Genomic DNA, 24,148 nt, shown 5'->3' on the forward strand with positions numbered 1-24,148 from the left:
CAGTAACCATCCCATGGTAGTATTTCTCCCTTGGAGCCTCCAAGGAGTCTCTTGGGTGCACAGAAGCTGTCTCTCTGGTTTCCAATGGCAGGTGCGACCTTCCTCCTTGTCAGTTCCCCCATGGGCAAGGCCCCAGTGACTTGCTGGAAGCCACTGGGGAGGCTCCGTTGCCAATGCCACCAAGATCACCAGCTGGTACTTCCTTGGGTGAGCGTGAGTTGGGATGACAGCCTCCTCAGGGGCCCCCGGGAAAGGAGTTCTGTTGGGTTCAAATGAGTTTCCCTATTCCAAAGGAGAAATGACTGTTACTTTTAAAATACAGATTGACCCGGATGAGTGGTTAAAATTGCAAGGCAAAGCGAAGAAGTGATTCGGCGCTAATGAGTATTGATTACAGAGAGGAAGCTGGTTAATTGAGTGAGTTGGTAAGTTGGTTGCCAGGGTAACATCTCACTTGGAATAACATCATCCTCACAGTGGGCACATACTGCATCTGGGTAGAGACTAGACTGAGAAGATGAAACATCAAAATGTTGGAAAGTACTGGAGAAAGGAAGTTTAAAGTCTTCCCCGACATAACCAAGGCTATTTTCCTTCTACCAAGAAGATATCCGCACACGAGCCTGAGAACAGAGCCTCTCTCTGCGTTCCATCCATCGTGCGTAGATGCAGGAGAGAAAGCTGAGGCACCGGTCTGTGGTCAATACGCAAGCAGCACATCACCTTTCCACTAGCTAGAAATGGTGGGCGTGGGAGGAAGGAACCATTTTCCTGAGGTTTGAATGAAAAGCCAAGCTTTATTTGCATAGACAGTAATAACAGTTGAGCTTAGAAGAAAAGGGACAGTGTCTGCCTAAGGTTTACATTTCCTCACATTTTGCTTTATGTTTGACCATATTAAAGCTGAAAATAGGCTATTAGAAAGACCAGAGCAAAACTGATGTCCCCATCTAGTAAATATTCAGAACTTTAAGGCAGGTGGTTTCTTTACTAACTTTGCTGTTTTTGTCTTATTGATATAGCCTTAGCCTTCCTTCATCCTCAATTATCTTTACTCTATTATATTCATATAATTTGGTAAGCCACCTCAAATTATTTTTGGAATGAAATGAGACTGTAAGTAATTCTGAAATGTCTAAAAGGTGTTGTAAAAGCAAGTAAATTTTTAATAGAAAAAAAAATTTTTTTAGAGTCTTGCTCTATCACCCAGGCTGGAGTACAGTGGCACAATCTTGGCTCACTGCAACTTCCACCTCCTGGGTTCAAGCAATTCTCCTGCCTCAGACTCCCAAGTAGCTGGGATTACAAGCACGCACCACCATGCCTAGCTAATTTTTTTTTTATTTTTAGTAGAGACGGGGTTTCACCGTGTCAGCCAGGCTGGTCTCAAACGCCTGACCTCAAGTGATCTGCCTGCCTCAGCCTCTCAAAGTGCTGGGATTACAGGCATGAGCCACCACTCCTGGCCGCAAGTCTTGAGGTTTATATCTCACCTTTTAGTTATGCCTACCTGGAGTAGGCATTCCTGATACACCTGTTAATAGTGTTCACCTGATTGCAATGAATAAACCCCAGAGTCAATATCTAAAAAGATATTAAACCTCTATCTGCAACTACCAAGGGAGTGAAACTGTCACAACGCCTGTAAAAAGTTGAGAGGTTGTTTTTCTGAATGGGTGGCATCTGCTTATAGCCTCTGTGGGATGGTTAACAAAAAATAGCTGGGCTCTATCTGCGTGAATTGACATGGATGAGGTGTGATTTAATTATGACCATCAAAATCATGCTGGATTATCACACATCGGGCCGTGAGCAGCTGTCCTCCATTTCCTCTGAGGACAGCAAAAGACAGGAAAGCAACCAGCAGCAGCTCTGTGTCAGAATTCTTAATGCACAGACAACAGTTGAAATAACTTCACTTGTTTTTATTGTTGCACAACAGACTTAGCACCTTGGTGACCAAAATTCCAGGTATTTCTCTATGCACACACACAGACAGATGTTTTTTCTAATAAAATTGAGTTACATTGTGCCTTTTTGAAACTTGTTTTTTTATTTACTTAATATGTCATAAATATCCACACCAATAAGTTACCTTCTTCATCATTTTAAAGGCTATCTAGAAATCCATTCCATGAATGGACCATCTTTTATTTATTCAAGTATTTTTGTACATCTAGGTAGAGGGGTTTTCTTTGTTGGCCTTTTTTAGGGTTATTTTGGAGGGCGTGTTATTATAAACTCCAAAACATCTTTGCAACTATATCGTTGGCACATCCATGATTATTCCCTTTGAATAAATTCTAAGAAGAGAAATTTCTGGGTCAATTTGTATGCAAATTGTAAAGCTTTTCATAGATATTTCCAAATTGCAGAAAGTTTCTAAAATCCAATTTACGTCTAGAAACCATTTTTTCAAGATAATTATTTTAAGTAGACATAGAGAAAAATCAGAAAATAATATGAGCAAAAGTATAAAAGTCAAAATCACTCGCAGCCTCACTGCCCAGGTATGACGTCTGCTACAACCTCCTCTCCCTGTGTCTGTGTCTCTGTCTCTCCCTCGCCCTCTCTTGCTCTCAAGCTCTTTTTGTCTCTCTCTGACTCTGTCTGTCTCTCTTGTTTCTCTAGCTCTCTGTGTCTCTCTCTGTCTCTTTCCCTCTTTTTCTCTCCTGTATCATCTATCTTTATTTATTTATTTATTCTTTTTTTTTTTTTTCCCAGGCTGGAGTGCAGTGGTGTGATCTTGGCTCACTGCAGCCTCTGCCTCCCAGGTTCAAGCAATTATCCTGCCTAAGCCTCCTGAGTACCTGAGATTACAGGCGCCTGCCACCACGCCTGGCTAATTTTTGTATTTTTAGTAGAGACGGGGTTTCACCATGTTGGCCAGGCTAGTCTCGAACTCCTGACCTCAGGTGATCCACCCACCTCGGCCTCCCAAAGTGCTGGAATTATAGGCATGAGCCACCGCACCTGGCCTCCGTATCTATCTTTCTTGTTCTTGTTCTCTGTCTTGCTCTGTCTCTGTCGCTACCTGCCCACCCCCACCTTGTTTTCCTTTCTCTGTCTCACTCTTTCTGTCTCTGCCTCTGTCTCTCTCTTTGATCAAAACTAGGGTCACCCCTCACACGGAGTTTCATAGCCTAGGCAGCACTAATAATATCTCACACTCGGGCAGAGCTTGGGGACTGGCAGGGCATATTTCACATGTTATTATTACCTTTCCCCAGGTGAGACCCTAAGGCTCCATGAAGCCAGTTGTTGTGCCTTGCCCAATGCCCACAGCTCATAAGTGTCTCCAAGTCCAGGACATTCAAGGCTCCAAGCTGTCCCAGTCACCTTCAGAGACATACCCATGCCCCTGATGCACCTGCACGGACCCACATGTGCTGTTTCCCTCGGGGGCCATGTGGTTACAAGGTCAGTCAGGCAGCTCAGCTAAGACAAGGGCTTGGTATAAGCCCCCAGGCTGTCTCCAGGAAGCCCAGGGTCCTACCAGGATGAGGATGGGGACAGGGAAGGAAGCTGCCTCTTGCCTCCCGCTCTGGGCCACAGCCTGCATCCACATCCGCCTGTCCCCAAATGTCTGCTTCTTTCATCTCTCGACACCCCCCTTCACCTGCTTCCTGCACATTGCTTACCATCCAAATCCCACACCCCATGACCTCTACCCTCTTCTTCTCTCTCCTCCCTTTTTATGGGGAACTCATCTGTCAGGCCTTGGCCTCCACCCTCAGTCCAGTGGGGCTGTTCCTCCTTGGACCCCTCGAAGCACCCTCTTCTGACCCCTGGCCTAACGTCCCCACACAGGTTCTAATGGCCAAACTGGCAAAGTTCCTGCTGTTGCCCTCACCTCCAAGGCTGGTGCTCCTGGACTCAGGGTGTGTTCCAGGTGCCTGAAGCATGGCCCACACCAGAAAAAGGTAAGCACAGGTGTGTTCCTGGCTCCAACAGCCCTCCTCCCCTCCTCTCCTCTCCTTTCTTCTCTTTTCCTTTTCCTCTTTTCTCCTCCCAGCTGCTCTTCCACCCCTCCTTTCCCTTCCTCTTATCCTCCCATCTCTGTCTACACTTCCTCCTTTGATCTCACCAAGCCCCATGGCTTTAGTTGTCATGTCTACACTGTCAATAACCAAATTTGTATCTGCTCCCAGGCATCTTGGACACAACACATCCCAAAGCAAGCTCTGGATCTTCTCCCCTGAAAAAGCCAGTTGTCTAGCATCCCACCCCCAGCACCATCTGAGTCTCCCCATCCCAGTAAGCAACATCATCACCCACCTGGTCGCTCAAGGCAGAAAAGAGGAGCTATCCTTTCTGCCTTCTTGTTTCCCACCCGCTACTTACAAGTCCCTCAGCGAAGTCTGTCTACACTGTGTCCAAACCAGTCAAGCTCGGAAGCTTCCCTCCCCGGCCATGGCCAGCACCATCTCCAACCGGGACAACTGCATGTCCTCCTGGCCCCGTCATGCCCCTCTGCTACCCGATCCCCATACAGCATCCAGAGGGAGCTGCTTCTCACATGTGAGGTCAACTCACTCTCCTGCCTAGCACCCTCTGATGGTTTCCACTGCCCTTAGAATAAACCATGCCCCCTATCCCAGCCCACGAGGCTCTGCGTGATCGGGCCCCTGCCTGCCTCTCTGGCTCGTCCCAGGCCTCTCTCCCCCTCACTCACCACCTCAAAGCTCCTCTGACCCTTCTGCCTCTGAGGACACACCAAACCCATTCCCACCTCAAGGCCTTTGTCCCTGCCTGGGTCTCTCTTCCCTCTCGTAGCTGGCTCTTCCCATTATGCGGCTCTCTCATCCTTGTGTGTCATTTGCTCAGAGAGATTGTCCCTGAGCACTCATCCTCTTTAAGAACATCGTCCCCACCCATCACCCTCTATCTCAACACTCTACTTACAATGCGTTGTATTATTATTTGCTCTTTTTACCCATCTCCCCCAGTAGGTGCTCTGTAAGGGCAGAAACCAGGTCCTCACACCATCGGTGCATGATAAAAATTAACTGACCAAATAACACGGTGGTACCCTCTTCAAGGCAACTTCGGAGTCAGACATGCCTACGTTCTCCTTCCTGCTCTGCCACATGTGTGACCCTGGACAGGGTCCTCCATCCTCTTGGCCTCAGTGTCTTTGCCAGCAAACTGGGAATAAGAATCCTGTGTCATGGGGTTGTCATAAGGGGGAAATGAGATGACGTAAGTGCAGTTCTTAGCATAATAAATGCATTCAAAGCAAATAAAAAGTGCTCAGTAAATGCAGATATTATTAAGCATATTTGTTGGATGAACAAGCAATCCCATAAAGCACGTGTTTAGAGACGTGGAACCCAAGACTCCGGAAGAGGGAGCGACTTGTTCCAGGTTGCGTGGCTACAAAGTGTCAAGTCAGGGTCACCTCCCAGGCCAGTCCGAAAGCAAGCCTCAGGGCCTGGAGATCCTCTGAAACAGGGCGTACCTGGGGCATGGTGTGCACATGGTGGAGTGAACAGATCAGAACTCAGAGAATAGCTGGGCCAGGGAGAAACAGAGTGAAGAGAATGCAGCACCAGGACCAAAACAGACCAGGACACCGAAACAGAATGGGCAGGACATTGAGCAGCAGCCATGTAAAGACTTGCTCTCAATTTGCCTAAATATGAGAGAATTGTGGGTCTCTGTGTCCTGGATTGATGCGGGATCCTGAAGCCACTCAATGGCCTCTGCATGCCAGAATCCCATCCTGCTGCCCTTCAGGACTCTCCCTGCCCCTGCCAAGGTGGAGGGGTGGGTGCTCAGACAGCAGAGTGACCACCCGGGCACCTCCTCGGGATGCTGCGGCCAGGGGACGCAATGCATCAGCAGGTGGGCTGGGGTCCAGGCCCATCCTGGAAAAGGCCGGCTGCAAGTTTCCATGGAGCCCGTCGCCATGGTAACCAAGCCTCCGCGGCAGGACTCCAGCAGAGCCAGGAAAGACAAGCTCCTTTCTTGTCCATATCCCAGGAGCCTGCAGGAGGGGGGCGGAGGGAAGTGGGGACAATCAGGCTTTCTGAACCAGGATGGGGGTGGGGGCAGAGAGAAGCGGAGGCTGTCTTCCTGCTCAATGGGTCAGCTATAAACTGCCAGAACGTGGCACCCTATTTCACGCCTCTGTGATTTGCTCGTGCTCTTCTCTCCCCTGGAATGCCCTCCCCCACCCTTGTCTCCCTGGAGCGCTCCCAGCTGTCATCTGTGCCTCACTGACCCTTCTGGGCAGAGTCAGTCCTTCCCTCCTCTGGTCACCTTTCACATATCCCCAGGGTGTCTGGCTCACCCACAGGCTTGGGGCGTGTGGTGGTGGTAAGAGCACAAGCTCTGGAATCAGGGAGATCTGAGTCACATCCCAGCTCTGCCATGAACATGTCAGTGACTCTAAGTAAGCCACTTATCCTCTCTAAGCCTCTACTTCCTGCTCAATGGGTCAGGACTCACTGAGCTCAATGCTCAATGGGTCATTCCTCATCTGCCATCTTCCAGCTGTGTGATCTTGAGTAAGTTTCCAAACCTCTCTGAGGCTCAGTTTCTTCTTCTGAAAAGTGAGGTGATGTCCGTGAGGTGCTTGATGCACACCTTGCATGTAATAAATGTCACTGATTGTTCTCATGTGTAGTGAGCGCTTCCTCTCTGCCCCCTGGGGAGTGGACTTCCAGTCCCTGCCAGGCCTGGTTTATCCCCGAGCTTACACTCAGGCTCCCAACCCCTATACTAAGCCCTCCCCTCTGCCAGGAGTCCTGGCCTGGCATTGTCCATGCCTTTCAGAGTAGGGTCTTTGAGAGGCACGAACTTTCCCTGCCCAGAGCAGGGACTGGCACACCACACAGAGCTGACATTTCCAGTCTGACATCTGAGAGCAAGCATTGTGAAGGAGAATAGATTCCACGAGAGCTTCCTGACAGCAGGGTCAGCCTTTGGGCTGCGTGTGTGTGTGTGTGTGTGTGTGTGTGTGTGTATGGCTGTCAGCAAACGCTCTAACATGCACACACAAACACATATGTGTACTCATGTCCTCACAAATTCACACACACACACCACACACAAAACTGACCTGGGAAAATGCAAAGATGTCCCTGATCACTGTGGTCCATGTCCCGGAGACCAGCCCATGACCCCATTTCTTCCCAAACTCCTCCCTCTGGAGCCCAACCCTGAGGCTCTCTGTTGTTTATGGAGCAGGTGAGGGATGACGACATGACCCTTCCTGGTCTCATCATCCGGGGACTCAACTGGGGGAAGTGAAAAGGCCAGGTCACCATCCGGACAACTGGTCTACCTATCCACAGGTCTCCAAGTCCACCTGTGGCATTTGGATACCTGGGATCATGCAGTCAGCATCCTTGCCCCCACTGCTGCTGAGCAGGCCCAGCTATGGACTGTCAAACTGCCCACACCCTGCTGCTACCTCCCTTTGAGTTCCCTGGCCCAGGCTAGGGTCTCAGACCCCCCAGCCCCTTTGTTCCATCCTGGGCATCAGAGTCCACAAGGTCAGGCCATATGCCCTGTCTCCCTGGTCTCCAAACCATCCTGAGATGCAGGCAGGGGAGGTGGTCACCTCCTTCAAACCTTGAGGCTGATCAATGCCAGCTGACATTTATTGAGCACTTACCCTATGCCAGCCACTGTGCTAAGCACCATACCTGTATTTCTTCCTCCACCCTCATAATAACACTCTAAGGGAGGTGATCTCATCATCCCCACTTTGCAGATGGGGAGACTAGGCACAGAGGTGTTCAGAAGCACAGCTAAGAGGGTGTTCCAATGGGAATTAAAACTCAGGCATTCTGGATGCACGGCCCAAACTACATTGTGTCTACTCAGCCACACTGACCTGGGCACAGCTAGAATGTGAGGGGACTCAAAAAGTGACATCCCAGTTCCCCTCCTGAGTTTAGAACATGCCGGTGACAGTCAGATGGTGGGCAGAATAATGCCAGCTCCATTCATTCGTTTGAGAAATATTTACTGAGCACCTACTATGTGCCTGCACTAAGCACTGGGGATCTCGCAATAAAAAAAGAAAACAAAAAAAAAACCTTGGTCCGATGGAGTGATGATTTTGGTGGGAAAGACACAATAAACAAGGTAAGTAAATGAAATAAAATGTGTTAGTAGTAAGTGCTAAGGAGAAGAAAAGCAGGGAAAGGGGAATGAAATGTCAAGGGGTTGGTGGGGGGAGGGGGTGTTGCAATCATAAGAAGCCAAGAGCGTGATACTTGAGTTAAGACCTAAGCGGCTAAGTATGGTCATGCATTCATCTGGAGGAAGAGCATTCCAGGCAACGGCCGTGAGGCAGGAGCTGGCCTGAGGAGCTCAGAATCAGCACAGCCATTGTAACTGGAATGGAGTGAGAGGGAGGGGCACAGGGGAAGTAAAGGTTAGAAGAGGCCAGAGGGGACCGGGATCGAGATGGTGAGAGCTCTCCAGGTTGCCATGAGGAATCTGGCTTGTGCTCAGGTGAGTTGGAAAGCCAGTGATGTGAAGTGATGTCACAGACAAAGCTGCCTGGAGGAGGCGGCTTTAGCCAAATGGGCTTGTGAATACCCCCGCCCCTGAATTAGACTCATCCTCTCTGTCCCTGGCAGTGCTGGACAAGCACAGACCTCCCCAGGGGGCAAAGCCAGCCTGCTGAGCTCAGCTGCTACTGAAGAACCACCCAGAACATAAGCCCCTCTGCAGGCAGGCTGCACTGAGGACATAGGCTATGCCCAGTGGGAGGCAAGCTGAACAGGTCCCTCACCCCACACTCGCCCATCAGCTCCGTGGGCAGGAGTCAGGGAGGGACAGAGAGAGGCCAGGCATGTTCGTGGTGGATGCCTTTCCACATTTGGTTATTAAAAGGCAAGAAATGAGTCTGGTCCAGGCATCTGAAGGCGGGGAGTCTGTCTCAGGCTGAGCATGCACAGGCTTTGATTCTTCATTAATGTCAGCATGGCCACCAACTCCCTCGACAAGAATAACAACCCCTCATGTCTGCAGAGAAGTATACATTCTGTCATGTGCTTCCCAGTTGAAGGAGGAGAAACCAAAGGCCCACAGTCCCAGAGATAAGTGGTGGAGCTGAGGTTTAAGCCCAGGTCTGTCCCACTCCATGGCCAGTGGCTCTTCCATATACCCCAGCTGATAACTAGGGTAGCATTAGCATTTCAGCTGCGCCAGCAGCACTATCTATATTTGGAAGTTGTATGGGAAAACTTACAAGATGAAAGACCTTTTAAGGTATGTGCATTTTTACCACAATAAAAGTATAAATACAGCAATAATAAAGAATAGTAAATATAAAATAGTACCCTGTTGTCTACATTTATCAGTAATCTTGTGTTGTTCACAATGATGGTGGCTACCGTTTGGAGTGCTGACTCCGTGCTAGGTGCTAGGTGCCGCGCCAAACACTGTGCATCTCCCTACCGACGTGTGGGGCAGGAGACCCCTGGGAGACATCTCCCCTCATTTTCTAACCTTTGAGTCTGCAACTCTCAGATGTTTCTTGGGATACCTTAGAGGACCAATGATCTCAAAGAGCTTTCCCTTCCCCATGCCTCTCTTCTTCCTTACAACATCTGGACAGAGGAGCAGCTGGGCTCCCAGAGGAAGCGCAAGACCTGCAGCCCCTCCACTGACAAGGTCAGGGCTCAGGGTCTCAAACAGAATCCAAGACTCTTTCTCTGCTTGGCCAAAGGTCAGAGGAATTAGCCTTGGAGTAACTAGTTTATGAGGCCTTGGACAGGTCACGGGAGTTCCTCATTCTAGCAAATGGAGGTGAGTTATTGGTATTAGGTTGCTCTGAGGTCTAAATATGAGAATACATATAAAGCAGCTGAGGATAACAAAAGGTATGGTTATTAGGGGGCAGGAATTGGTCCCTATTCATGTCAGGGAATAACAGAATGCAGCTTACAGCAGTGGTTTTCAAAAAAGCACACATTGTCCTTTCAGCCACTAGATTGCTGGTTCTCAAGCTTTAGCCCCTGGGGGAGGGGGAGCTGTTGAAACAGACTGCTGGCCCCACTCCCCTGGAGTTTCTGATTCTGCAGCTGCTCTGGCGTGGGGCCTGAGAATTTGCATTCTCAGACGTTCCCAGGTGATGCTGATGCGGCTGGTCTGGAGTCCAGGCTTTGAGAAGCACTGCCCTTGATCACCAGTTCTCAACTGTGGCTGCACCTTAGCGTGGATCAGGGGGATGCCTCAGCCAGCTCTGAGTCCTGGGTCACACTCTTGGAGATTCTGAGGGTACAGCTCCGACACTGGGAGTTTTCCAAGCTCCCAGTTGATTCTAATGTGCAAGCCCAAATTGAGAACCGCTGCCCTGAGTAGAGGGAGGAGAGCTAAACGGGCCTCCTCGTTGAGTGGGCCCGCCTGTAGCATCTGCCACAACCACCAGCCACTAAGAGCAGGCAGCTGTGGGGAGGGGTTTGAGAAAGCCCTATCATTGCTAACAATAATAAAAGCTAACATTTCTGAAACGTTCACATGGGCCAGGCACTTTCTTCAATACTTTATATCTAATAGTTCATGAAATCCTCATAACAACCCCATGAGATGATAATGGTATTATTTGCAGTTTACATTTCAGCCTGATATACAAGGAAGTCGGGTCACTTATCAAAGGTCAAACAGCCAGAAAGCAATGGAGTCAGGATTTGAAAACAGCATACCCACCTCATTTCTTTTTTTGAAACAGAGTCTCGCTCTGTTGCCCAGGCTAGAGTGCAGTGGAACCATCTTACCTCACTGCAACCTCCACTTCCGGGTTCAAGTGATTCTCCTGCCTCAGCCTCCGGAGTGGCTGGGACTACAGGCACATACCACCACACCTGGCTAATTTTTGTATTTTTAGTAGAGACAGCATTTCCCCATATTGACCAGGCTGGTCTCGATCTCCTGACCTCAAGTGATCTGCCCGCCTTGGCCTCCCAAAGTGCTGAGATTACAGGTGTGAGCCCCCACACCTGACTGGGTCCTAGTTCTTGACCACTGGGCTAAGCAGAATGTATTTATGATTAATTATTGTGAAATTAAAAAAAAGGTTTTGTGGGAGAAAAACTCATTTTGTGTCTACTCTTTGCTCTGGAAGCTTTTCAGGGGCATTGGGCCAAATATGATACAATGCTGACTTTAAAATATCTGATTTACCTTTTCCAAAGCACATTTGCAGATGTGATCTTATTTTGACAGCCCCAACAACATGATCTCTCTCTACCACTCTTCCCTCAACCCCTGCTCCAGTGAAATAAACAACTTCACCATTCATTTCAACTCACCCAACATTTACTAAGTATGTACTTTGTGCCAGCCACCAGGCTACAGCTTGAGGACATAGAGATGTCAAGACCGTGAGACTCAGAGAGGCAGTGACCTGGCCAGGGGTGAGTTAAAGGCAGAGCCTGGGCCCGGCTCATCTAATGCTCTCATCTTGGAGGAGCTGAGGGATGAACAGGAAAGGAAGGTGGTCCTGCAGGAGCTGCAACAGTGTTCTTGCCTGCTTTGGGACTGGCATGGCCTCTGATGGCTCCTGGAGAAAAGACTCCAAGTTGGGAGCTGGCAGGAATTAGAAGAGGGGCATGAATGCCCAGGCTTAGAGCAAGAACTTATGAGCTCCTGCTCAGACAAAAACCTTGGCCCAGCTCCTTCTGGCCTCCACGTACCCTCACCCCTTCTCTACCCCCAGGCAGGCAGCTTTCCTATCTAAAAGGGCAATTACTCCAAGCAACCAGGAAGGCCAGAACCAGGGGACAAATTTCCCAACATGACTCTGGTCTGGACTTTAACCTTCAAATGACAGTCTATTCACAATCCTTGTGTCTGTTCACAATGTTAACATGTAAATGTGAACATAGTCAATAACCACAATTTTTGTTACCCTGTTAGGGCACATCTCTTTTTTTAACCATATCCAGAGGCCTTAAAAAACAGAAGTGGTCCAGGTCACTCTCCACCTCTGACAGGCTCTGCTGAGAGATCAGGGGACAGTGGCCCAGAGAGGAATGACTTGCCCGAGGTCACACAGCAAGCCAGTGTCAGAATCCACAAAAACCCAGGACTTCTGACTCCTACCCAGGTCTCCTTGGGGTTCAAAAAGACCCCCTCACCAGAGAAACCTGCTCGTAAATGTCCCAGTTCTTTCTTTTTCCTTTATTTATTTATTTATTTATTTTTTTTTTTTGGGACGGAGTCTCGCCCTGTCGCGCAGGCTGGAGTGCGGTGGCGCGATCTCGGCTCACTGCAAGCTCCACCTCCCGGGTTCACGCCATTCCCCTGCCTCAGCCTCCCGAGTAGCTGGGACTACAGGCGCCTGCCACCACCCCAGCTAATTTTTTGTATTTTTAGTAGAGACGGGGTTTCACCGTGTTAGCCAGGACGGTCTCGATCTCCTGACCTCGTGATCCACCTGCCTCGGCCTCCCAGAGTGCTGGGATTACAGGTGTGAGCCACTGCGCCTGGCCATGTCCCAGTTCTTAAGCAGCTCATGTCTACTTACAGCGTCAGCCACCACCTTTATGCAGGCCACCCCAGCCCAGACCTCTCCCACCCAGCCCCACCCAGAGGTCTCACAAGCATCTCAGATGCTGAGGCTCCAACTCTGAACTAACCACCTTTCCCTTGAAATCTACCCCACCCGTATTCCCTCTCCCCCAACCTTTAGTTGCTCAAGCCAGAAACATAGGTGTTACCCCAAGCAGATTCCTCTCCATCACCCCCACAACCTCCAGTAAACCAGTAGGGCCCATCACTTCTACCTGTCCTTTACCTTTCTTGAACCCATCCCTTTTCCTCTCCCTTCCACCACCACATGAAGACGACCTCATCATTTCAGCCCTCATCCATCAGAACCTCTCCCCTTCAGTTCACGCTTTTCTTCGACAAGTGTGTGAACACTCACTGTGGGCCTGGCACTCTACCCTGGGCTGGGGTGCAGCATTGAGCAAGACAGCCAAGATTCTGTCACCGGCATGACTGCACGAAAACCACTTTGACCACACTTCTCCCTTGCTCTGATCCCTGGGTGGCTGCAAACTGCCCCTGAGTTCAAGTGCAAACTCCCTCATGCAGGTATTCACATTCCTGGACCTTCCAACCACCCCTGATCCTTCCAGATGGGTCTGTCATTGTGCCCTGCCCAGGCTGATCCAAACAAGCTTTTGGCCATCCTCCCAAACACCAGCTCAAAGACCCCCTCCTCCACAAAGCTTCCCTGCCTGAGTCAAGCACCCCACCTGGCAGGGTGAGTTTTGCCTTCTTCTGGAATCCCATTGAAACCCAGGATTTGTGTGCCTGCCTCCCAGACTGGGCTGTGATTCCAGGCGCTCAGGGGACTGAGCCATCGCCAAGCCCAGAACCTGGCACTGATGGGCATCAATGTGTTGTGTTGATGGATGGACAGACAGAGGGGTGGGTAGAGCAAAGTCCAACTGCCCTTTTCATTCACTCGGCCCAGTGCCTATGCCTTTGTAGTTTTCTGGAAGTCCCTCCAGCTGTCTAACCTCCCCTGCTGGCATTATGGAAGCTCATGCCCAATTGTTCTCTAAATCTGTCCCCTTCCCTTCCCCAAAGCCCAGACCGTCCTGCCTTTCCCTTGACTGGGCAACAAGTCAACAAGAACAAAGGTCTGGTGAGGCCAACCAGGGAAAGGCCAGCCCGGGCCTCTCGGGATCTCAAGCCCTCGGCCTGTGTGTGTGCCAGAGCTTCCCACAGACTCGGGAAGAAGGTGCCGGAGGCTTGCCGGGCGGCCTTGCGGTTTGAAGCAGTGAGTCACCTTCTGGCTGCAAGTCAAGGAACTCTCACTGCGCCCTTGTTTGGACAAGACGAGGAGGCGCACTCAGAGTCAGAGACCCCGGGGCAGAGACAGGGGCAAGAAGAAGGGGCCACCGAGACCCCAAGAGAGTCAGGGAGACAGACGCACCAAACGACCGACACAACCAGGGACAGGTACGGCACGCAGAGAGAGAGGAGAAGGACAGAGGTAGCCAGCCCAGAACTGAGAGGGAGAGCGGGGAGCGCAGGGAGAGGAATCGCGCCGCCGGTGTAGACAGCTGGGCTCCCTGCGCATGCTCTGTCCTCCCCCTCGCGGCTCCCACCGCAGGCCCGGACCCAGAAGTGGACAAAAATGGAGCCAATGGGCTTCCAGACCGGGACATTACCTCACCAGCACCGGCTGCCATTGGCCGGCGCCCCCGCCGGGGCGGGCTGTTGCTATGACAGCCCAGGCCGGCGTTGCAGAGGGATGTTCGGAGGAAGCTCCGGGCGGGAGAGCCGCGTCCACTCCTCTTTCCAGACTATGATGGGGCCCAGGGACCCCTCCCCTCCGACTGAGCCCCATAGACCCCCTACTCAGGCCAGAAGGGGAAAGCTGAGCTCCTGCTGGCCCAGGCATCAGAATTCCTGTAAAGACGCCCATTCGGCCCTCTCCCTCAACCTGGCCCACAGTCCCTTGCCAAGACCACCCCGCCCCCACAACCTGGAACCACACACTCATCCATACACCCTGCAAACAGCAATGAGCACCCTCCAGCATCCAGGTGCACCTGGGCTCTGCAGACGCAAAGATGAGTCCACCTCCACCCCTGCCCTCACAAAGCCCCCCACCCCCACAGTCTGATCAAGCAAGCAGTCCAGGAGAAAATGGCAAGGCAGTGTGTTAAGGATTAAAATAGAGGGAGCACGGAGGTTGTGGGAACACAGAGGAGGGGTCCCTATCCAACCTACCGAATCAGGAGGACTGCTGGGAGAAAGGGATACAGAGCCAGGACCTGAAAGAGCCAGATGAGGAACGGTGGGGAAGGGATTCTCAGCAGAGGGGACAGCCTGCGCAAAGACTGGAGGCAGTAAAAAGCAAGGAACACTCGAGGCACTATGGCAGGAAATTAGATGGTGGGGTTCGGGGTGTTGGAGAGGAGGAGGAGTTTAAAGTAAAGCTGAAAGGGGAAGCAGGAACAAGATCCCAAAGGGCTTGAATGTCGTGCTAAGGGATCTTGGACCACATTCTCAGGCAGTTGGGGGATGGAAGGGGAGAGGGCTATGATTAGGTTTGCATTTTAGGAAGATCTCCACTCTTGCAGCTGTGTGGAGGATGGGCTGGAGGGGACTAGGAGACCAGTCATTGCAGGGACTGGGGAAAGTCAGGGCAGGGGGGACTAAGGCTACCCGAGCTGGAGTAGAGATGGAGAGACCCAAACTCAGGAGGAGGTGTAAAGGACGTGGAGCCATAGTTCAGGTGACTGAGGAGATGGCACCAACTCACCTGGGAGGCTCTGAGGGCTTCTCTGGCAGCCAGATAGGATCACCGCTCTCCTTCCATATGATATTTGTGTCAGCTTGTGTATGCAACTTTCGTTTCAAGAATCATGCTGCATTGAAAAGATGTCTATCTCTTTTCACATCTCCCCACCCTCTACACACACACACACACACACACACACACACACACACACAGAGGCTGTGATTCACCTCCGTTCCCAGCACTCAACACAGAGCTTCATCCCAAGTACGCTTCCACAAATCCAAACCCCCATCAGCCCCCTCCCCATTACCCTTACCCCAGCCTCCACCCACCCCTCCCAGCCTCTGCACTTCCTTTCCAACCTCCATGCACCTGCTTCCCATCTCTTTAGTCATGTCGTAGCCACCACCTAGGAGCTGGGACTGCCCCCCTGCTCACCATGTCTGCCCTTCCTATCACCCCTCAGCAGGGAGGAAAAGTTGCCTATCTGTTGGGTCAGATTTCTGAAGACTGATGAGGCCCATTTTCTGGTAAGCGGGGTCATTACAGTGCAATCATTGGGTTGTTATGAGAATTAAATAAGGTTTGTTGCCTGGCACATGTAACTATCCAATCAATCAGCTATAGTAATGGCATTATTATGGGTGTTAGAGGAGGATGGAGAGGGCTGGTGAGGACTCCAGTGTGGCATAGCCCTGCTTTGGGATACCGGTGTTTGCTTCACTCATTACAGAGTGGTGTCTTGACTTCTCATTTGTCACACGTACTTGTTATTCACTCTCTCGAGGAAAAACATGAAACAAAGTAGATGGTGGGACAAGAGTCCTGGGTTTTTATTTTTATTATTATTATTATTATTTTTGAGACAGAGTCTCACTCTTGTCACCCAGGCTGGAGTGAAATGACATGATCTCAGCTCACTGAAACTTCTGCCTCCCAGGTTCAAGCAATTCTCCTGCCTCAGCCTCGCGAGTAGCTGGGATTACAGGTAGGTGCCACCAAGCCCGGCTAATTTTTGTATTTTTAGTAGAGATGGGGTTTTGCCATGTTGGCCAGGCTGGTCTCAAACTCCTGACCTCAAGTGAACCACCTGCCTCGGCCTCCCAGAGTGCTGGGATTACAGGCATCAGCCACCATGCCCAGCTGAGTCCTGGATTTTTGTCATAATACCACATGAATACCGTCAAACTCTCACGGAAATCCCTGATGCAGTGGTTACAGATGTCCTCTCCCAATGAATCAAGACAGGACAATTGAGTGGCTTCTTAAATGTCAAAAGAATCAACTCAGATCTTCCAATTAAGGAACCTTCAGGATGTCAGAGCTGGCAATGCCCTTAGAATCCTCTTATTCAACCTTTGGTTTGACATATGAGGAAACTGAGGGCCAGAGAAGGCAAGTGACTGCTCAGAGTCACACAGTTGGGTTGACCAGCAGAACCAGAGTCTTTTTAGGCACCCAGTTTCCCCCTCACTGCACTTTCCCAAATCCGGTCTGTCTTGCAACTGAACAGTGACTAGAACCTCCTCTAGCCAGGGCACATGTAGGCCCTTCACATACTGTTACATTAAACATTCACGACAGCCCTGCAGGATGGCTATTGTTAATCCTATCTGAAAGGTCCAGAGAGAGAAAGTATCTCCTCCAAGACCACACAGTGTTACTGAATTGAACCCAGGCCTGTCAGGTTCCAAGGCCCATGTTCTTGGCATAGCAATGTGTTGACTCTAGGACTGCTCAGGTGGTTTATTTAGAACTTGTGGGCATCAGAGTGATTTGCCAATATAATCACTAAAAGAAGAGGTGAATCTGCTACTTGATGAAAACAAAAGAGGGCCTAGAATCTTCTGCACATCAGTGCTTCATGTACCTGCCCTGTTGTGTGGAAGCGCTCCTCTAAAAGCAGTAGGAGTCAAAGGGTTATGCCCCATCTGAGGGTATAGAAGAGAACCAGCTAGGCTTGGGCATATTTTCTGAGTGAGGCACCACCACCCAAGTTCTCTGAGTAGAGGGTCCTCGGAAGGAGACACAGGAGAGTGTGTTTTTATTTTTATTTTTATTTTGAGATGGATTCTCATTCTGCTGCCCAGGCTGGAGTGCAATGGCATGATCTTGGCTCACTGCAACCTCCACTCCCAGGTTCAAGCGATTCTCCTGCCTCAGCCTCCCAAGTAGATGGGATTACCAGTGTCTGCCACAATGCCCAGCTAATTTTTTGTATTTTTAGTAGAGACACGGTTTCACCATGTTGGCCAGGCTGGTCTTGAACTCCTGACCTCAAGTGATCTACCCACCTCCGCCTCCTAAAGTGTTGGGATTACAGGCTAGAGTATGTTTTAATGAGGTCTCTGCATGAGTATGGATCTTGAAGTGATCATAGGTTCAGGATCTCTTGCAGAAAGGGCCAAGTGGGTGATATCTATAAGGACAAATCAACTGCATTAACTTCATTGTCACTGGAGGCTCCCACAGCACAGTGCCCTACAGCCTTTTCCAGCCTTTGATGGAGGAAGGGCAGTGTCCCTCAGCACTGGAAGAGATGCCATCCTTTATAGCAAAAAAATGGATTGTTCTACATCTTCAAGAGGTTCTATTTCTAGCTCTAGAAAACACTATGACTGTTGATCAGCAAAAAATTTTGCTGTATCTGGCTCTGGAAATATCTCTGTCCTTGGCTCTGGAAAATGTTCCAGAGACATTTATAGTCCCACAACATTGTTGGCTCTAGGGAAAACTCCATGGCTCCAGAGGACTTTCTGCTCCTAGTTTTGGAATTCTGCAACCTGTTTCTGGAAGACCCTTCCTCACCGGTTTTGCACTGTCCTGCCCTCCTGGCTCCAGATTATCCAATCCCATTTCTGGAGGACACTCTGACTGTGAAGCCAAAGAACTCTCTATACATGGCTCTGGAGGGCTGATTCTCTGTAAAGATGGAGAACCACTTGACTGGCCTGGAAGACTGACTGTCCATACTCTTCTTCCAAGATCTGGACTTGACATCCCTGGCCCAAAAAGATTGACTATATAGGGACCTGAAGGGCCTCTCTAGCTGACATGCTGTAATATCATATTTCACAAGTGCTGTCTTGACCCAGTTTTGAGATCCTGGCTAAAACCTCTCAATTCCTCCTTGTGGGCACTTTGCTCAGCCTACACCTTAACCCCTCCAAACTCTAGGCATGGAGCTGTCTGTGCCCCTGGATCTAGACAACTCTTTGGAATAACCTTCATTCCTGGCTTCTGGAGTAGGAGGGGGAAATTTGGATAGATTGGAGGGATGGGAAGGTAAGAGGAAGCACGGAATGGTTGCTGTGGCATCTGTTCTGATCAGCAACCTGAGCTGGATTTAAGTTCCATGGTCACAGGTTAGCGGCCACAATTGTTCAAATTTCATTTACATGAGCAGCCTGATGAGGTTCTGGGTTCAACAGGAAGAACTAATTTTGGTTCTGCAGTGCATGAGGCCTAGAGTGGGGGAAATGGAAGCTGTTCTCCCCATAGCTGTTGACCCCAGCAAGGTTCATGGAGTCTGAAGGTGAGGCATACTGGCCAAGATGTGCAGCATGATGGGCCCCGGCCAAGCCACTTTATGGCCAAAAACATGGACAAGCGGAGCCAGGGCAGAAAAGAGGGCACATGACAAAATTCCCATGAGGTCTGCAGTCAGGGCCATTCAAAGGCCTTTCTTACCGTGCCAAACACCCATACCCCATTCCTGGCCTTCTACATTCCTCCTGGAATCACCAGCCCTAGAAGTTTAAAAATTGCATCTCCCGGCCAGGCACAGTGGCTCACACCTGTAATCCCAGCATTTTGGGAGGCCGAGGCAGGCAGATCACGAGGTCAGGAGTTCGAGACCAGCCTGACCAAAATGGTGAAACCCCACCTCTACTAAAAATACAAAACTTAGCCGGCCATGGTGGTGCATCCCTATAATCCCAGCTACTCGGGAGGCTGAGGCAGGAGAATCGCTTGAACCCGGGAGGCAGAGGTTGCAGTGAGCCGAGATCGCACTACTGCACTCCAGCCCGGGTGACAGAGTGAGAGTCTGTCTCAAAAATAAAAAAAAATTACATTTCCCAGATATCCTTCGAGTTGGATTTCGACTGGGTTCTGCCAGTGGGATGTATCCATGCGAGATTCTGGAACTAACATCAGAGAGAGTCCAAGCTTCTAACTTTTATCAGCGGCAGTGACAATAGTCAAGCAGCATTGATGGTGAGTACAGGCTTGTGAGCCCAAAATGACATCACATTTCTTTTTCACTCCACTGGTCCTTCCAACGTTTCTATAACCAATTCCCTAAATTAAATCACTTTGTCTGATGTACCTAGAGTGGTTTCTGTTTACCTGACACTTATCGAAGATTTATGAGTGCCTACTGTGTTCTAAGATGTTCTAAGAACTAGGACTGTGAGACTGAACAAGAGTGGAATAGTGGATGGGGTCAGAGAGATTGGCAGAAGCAAAGCCATACAGGACCTTTTAAGCCATAGGAAGAAGTTTGGGTTTCAGTCTGATTTCAATGCTAAGAGCCTCTTATTCAGGGAAGGGAAGGATGTGATTTATGACTTGGGCTCTATGACAGATGAAGTCTAGCAGGCTGTAATAGAAAGGAGGGAGAGAGGGGGCTATTTGAAGACTTCAAGCTGGAGATGACAGACTGAAGCTGGTGGGGAGGGGTTTACTGTTATAACATTAGGGTCTGATGATGGTAGGACGGACACACTGACCTCTGATGAGATGAAAAGCAGAACTCTATTACTTACAGCATCAAGTGGGAGAAAGTTGCCATGCGGGGCCGTGTCCCTACATGCAACCCCCTGGTTGCACCCAGGACAGGGGAACAGCAAGCTGGAATGTAGGAGGCAGCTTCTCTATGGCAAGTGGAGTGGGGTTAGCAGGTGTAGGGGCTTCCTGTGGGTTGGGAATTTTGAGTGATTTCACAGACCCAAGGAAGAAGTATTCATCCCTTGATGTTTAGCAAATAATTCCTGGAAGTTGTGTGTATTGTTGTGACCCAAGAGTGTTAGAGCCCAGTAAGGAAAGGGGTTGGGGTGCAGGCTGAGCAAAGTGCCCGCAAAGAGGAATTGAGAGTTTTTCGCCAAGATCTCAAAATTGGGTCAAGAGAGCCCTTGTGAAATATGGTATAACAGCGTGCTAGCTAGAGAGCTGTGGGCGTGATCAGGATCTGCTTTAGAGGTAGAGCTGACGGGACTTCCAATGGACTGGACGTGAGAGAAAGAGGAATCTTGACCATGGACTTCCAGAATCAGAGGGCTCTGATTTTGAAACCATGCTTCTCATCAGATACAAATAAAGATGTTTGATAACTTTTTTTTTTTTTTTTTGAGACGGACTCTCACTCTGTTACCAGGCTGGAGTGCAGTGGCGGCATCTCGGCTCACTGCAACCTCCACCTGCCAGGTTCAAGCAATTCTCCTGCCTCAGCCTCCCGAGTAGCTGGGACTACAGGCACAAGCCACACACCCAGCTAATTTTTGTATTTTTAGCACAGACGGGGTTTCACTATGTTGGCCAGGATGGTCTCGATCTCTTGACCTCGTGATCCGCCCCCCTCGGCCTCCCAAAGTACTAAGATTACAGGTGCGAGCCACTGCGCCGGGCCGTTTGATAATCTTTTAAAAACTTATTCAAATAAATGAAGGGCTAACAAGATAGTAAGAAATAACCAGGGCTAGCTGGAAGGAAATATATAAGAACCCAGAGAGGAAAACGATCATAGAAGCCACTTTTGCCCTGAGAACACTGACCAAGAATAATGAAGAACAGGCACAAACAATATCAAAAATAAAGGGTGGGTGCATCACCACCGATGCTATAGACATCAAAAAGAAGAGAATGTGGGCCGGGTGCGGTGGCTCACGCCTGTAATCCCAGCACTTTGGGAGGCCGAGGCGGGCAGATCACGAGGTCAGGTGATCGAGACCACGGTGAAATCCCGTCTCTACTAAAAATAGAAAAAATTAGCCGGGCGTGCTGGCGGGCGCCTGTAGTCCCAGCTACTCGGGAGGCTGAGGCAGGAGAATGGCGTGAACCCGGGAGGCGGAGCTTGCAGTGAGCCGCGATTGCGCCACTGGACTCCAGCCTGGACAACAGAGCGAGACTCCGTCTCAAAAAAAAAAAAAAAAAGAGAAGAGAATGTGATGAAAAACTGCATGCCAATACATTTGAAATTTTAAATCAAATAGGTAAATCCTGAGAAAAATATAGCTTACTAATACTGACTCAAGGTAAAAAGAAAAAAAAATGCTACAACCACTTTGGAAAAGAGCTTGGCTTTTTCTAGGAAAGCTGAAAACTTTCTGTGACCAGCAATTATAGTCCTACGTATATACCTTAAACAAATTCATGCATATGTGTAATCATTAAAATGTGTAGGACTACTTTTAGAAGTACAGAAGCACTGTTAATAATAGCTGGGGCTGGACACAGTGGGCCGGGTGCGGTGGCTCACGCCTGTAATCCCAGCACTTTTGGAGGCCAAGGCAGGCGGATCACAAGGTAAGGCGTTCAAGCCTGGCCAACATGGTGAAACCCTGTCTCTACTAAAAATACAAAAATTAGTTGGGCGTGGTGGCGGGTGCCTGTAATCCCAGCTACTTAGGAGGCTGAGGCAGGAGAATCGCTTGAACCTGGGAGACGGAGGTTGCAGTGAGCCAAGATCGCACCATTGCACTCCAGCCAGGGCAACAGAGTGAGACTCCGTCTCAAAATAATAATAATAATAATAGCTAGAAATTGGAACAACATAAATATTCATTAAGAGTAGAATGTGGCATATATAGTATAGTGAAATAATATGTAACAATTGAAATGTATGAACTACAGCTATACATAACAGGATGAGAATTACAAGTATAATATTGAAAGAAAACATGAAGATGCAAAAAAAAAAAAGTATTCTGCAATTCCAAAAATATAAAGTTCAAATATAGGCAAAACATATATATATGTGTATATATATATATATGTATATATATATATATATGTGTGTGTGTGTGTGTGTATATATATATATGTGTGTGTGTATATATATGTGTGTATATATATATGTGTATATATATGTGTGTATATATGTGTATATATATGTGTATATATGTGTGTGTGTGTGTATATATATATATATATATATATGATTTATGAGAAGTTTTTGAGTGCTGGCAATGTTATTTCTTGACCTGAATGGTAGTTACATGAGTGTTTATCTTTATTTGTTAAATTATGCATTTATTTTCATGTACTTTCTGTATATAATTTCTGTTTTATGATATAAAAAGGGTTCCAGAGAATGATTAAAAGAATGGAGCTAGGCAACTGGATGAATAATGGTGCCAATTTCTGATTTGGAGAGAGTTTCAAAAAAGGAGTGGGAAGTGGGAAGATGGGGAATCCATAAATGAGATATTCATTCTTGCCATATAAATTCTGGCATGCCCGTTGGACATTCAAGAAAATATCTCAAGCCTGTAATCGAGGATTGAGTCTCAGAGGAGAGGCCCCAACTCTCCATCTCAAATGAGTGGAAGGAGGTATTTACAACAGGCATAGCTGGCAAACAGCTTACATCCAGAATATATATAAAGAACTCCTGCAAATGAGTAAGAAAAAGATAGACAACCTTGTAGAAAATTGGGCAAGAGACTTGAGCACATTAGGTTTTAATGTAAGAAATTACACAACTGGGTCATTGTATGGGAATGAAGTGAAACCCAGTAGCTTTGAATCCCCAAGCTACTGGGGCATCAAGAGACGGGTCATTGCAAGGAAAGGATGTAGGATGCAGAAAATTGAAACATGTATTATTGGTTAACTCCTAGACAAACGGCAAGAGTTTAGAAAGTACCAGTGACGTGCCTGATAGAATCTCACCACAAGATGGAAGCCAACTCGTCAGAAGCCTGGAAAGCCCACCCAGCGTGGGACCTCTGTGGGTCCAGGATCTTGGAATGGTATCCCATGGTTCAATCTTCTGGATTCAACCACATAAATTTACCCCACCCATGTCGTGGACCCAAGCTTCCTACCATGTATACTTAGCTTAAATGCAAGATAGTACTATTTTGTTCATCTTGATTGGAGTGAGAAATGAATAGGTCCATGCACATATATTTCTTTTACCACAACAAGATGATGAAGAAATAAATCCATAATATCGATACTTTTGTATAAGTTGTGTTTACAGTTGCGGTAAGAAATTTTATAATTGTTGATTTGCTTTATATAATTTCTGCTTGCTTTTTATGATATTTAAAACAAAATCTAAGCAACAAATTTTATGTCTGATTAGATTTACAGAAGCTGCTTAAGTGCTTAGGGATAATTTGTTCATCATATTTGTAAGTCTCCCTTGTTAGGTGTTTGAAGTGTTTGAATTGGCTAAATTAAATTTGTAATTGTAGTTTGAAATATCTAAAGGAATTTTCTTAATTAAGTGTTTAAATGATGTTAAAAGTTTGTGGGAATTTAATCTATCAAATTTATGAGTTAATTGAATATGAATCAATGAACAAGTAAATGTGATCTTGCTTTTATATAAAAACTACTAAGTTCATAAATAAAATACAAAGATCCATAAGTTGAGAGGAAAAGCAAAAGAGCCAGATTCTAAGATCTATAACTTAAAAAAATTAAATATTGATTGAAATGTAAGTCATTGCAATTATCCCCACTAGCTGAAATCTCACATCTGAGTGCTTACACACAAAACAAAATGTTACCCTGAACATACTAAACAAATAAAAAACCACGTGGTAATTACTATACACATGCTCACTGCTGGAAGCATTCATACTGCACTCAAATCCAGGTGGGAGAATGCAGCGTGTGCTACAGGTGAATCTCGGCTGTTCTCTTATGGGGATCAGGTCTTTTTCTTAATTATCTTCCACGGAT

At 48.3% G+C, this 24,148-nt stretch overlaps 1 long non-coding RNA gene across 1 annotated transcript, besides 2 other annotated features; it reads left to right on the forward strand.

The window, feature by feature from the left end:
* Nucleotides 8,146-8,652: an enhancer, noted in NCBI's record as "H3K27ac-H3K4me1 hESC enhancer chr1:31291425-31291931 (GRCh37/hg19 assembly coordinates)". NCBI's record gives its function as "activates a minimal SCP1, AML or CMV promoter by ChIP-STARR-seq in primed H9 embryonic stem cells {active_cell/tissue: H9 hESC(primed)}" and the evidence as "EXISTENCE:reporter gene assay evidence [ECO:0000049][PMID:30033119]".
* Nucleotides 13,445-13,947: an enhancer, noted in NCBI's record as "H3K27ac-H3K4me1 hESC enhancer chr1:31296724-31297226 (GRCh37/hg19 assembly coordinates)". NCBI's record gives its function as "activates a minimal SCP1, AML or CMV promoter by ChIP-STARR-seq in primed H9 embryonic stem cells {active_cell/tissue: H9 hESC(primed)}" and the evidence as "EXISTENCE:reporter gene assay evidence [ECO:0000049][PMID:30033119]".
* Nucleotides 14,220-23,852, forward strand: LINC01778 (long intergenic non-protein coding RNA 1778). The gene is made up of 3 exons (NR_146732.1): nucleotides 14,220-14,396; nucleotides 15,699-15,762; nucleotides 23,074-23,852. It is a non-coding gene; the product is annotated as a long intergenic non-protein coding RNA 1778 (long non-coding RNA).
* Nucleotides 23,853-24,148: the final 296 nt, after the last annotated feature.

The sequence above is a fragment of the Homo sapiens genome, chromosome 1, assembly GCF_000001405.40.
Source record: "Homo sapiens chromosome 1, GRCh38.p14 Primary Assembly".
In the NCBI taxonomy this organism is placed as follows: Eukaryota; Metazoa; Chordata; class Mammalia; order Primates; family Hominidae; genus Homo; species Homo sapiens.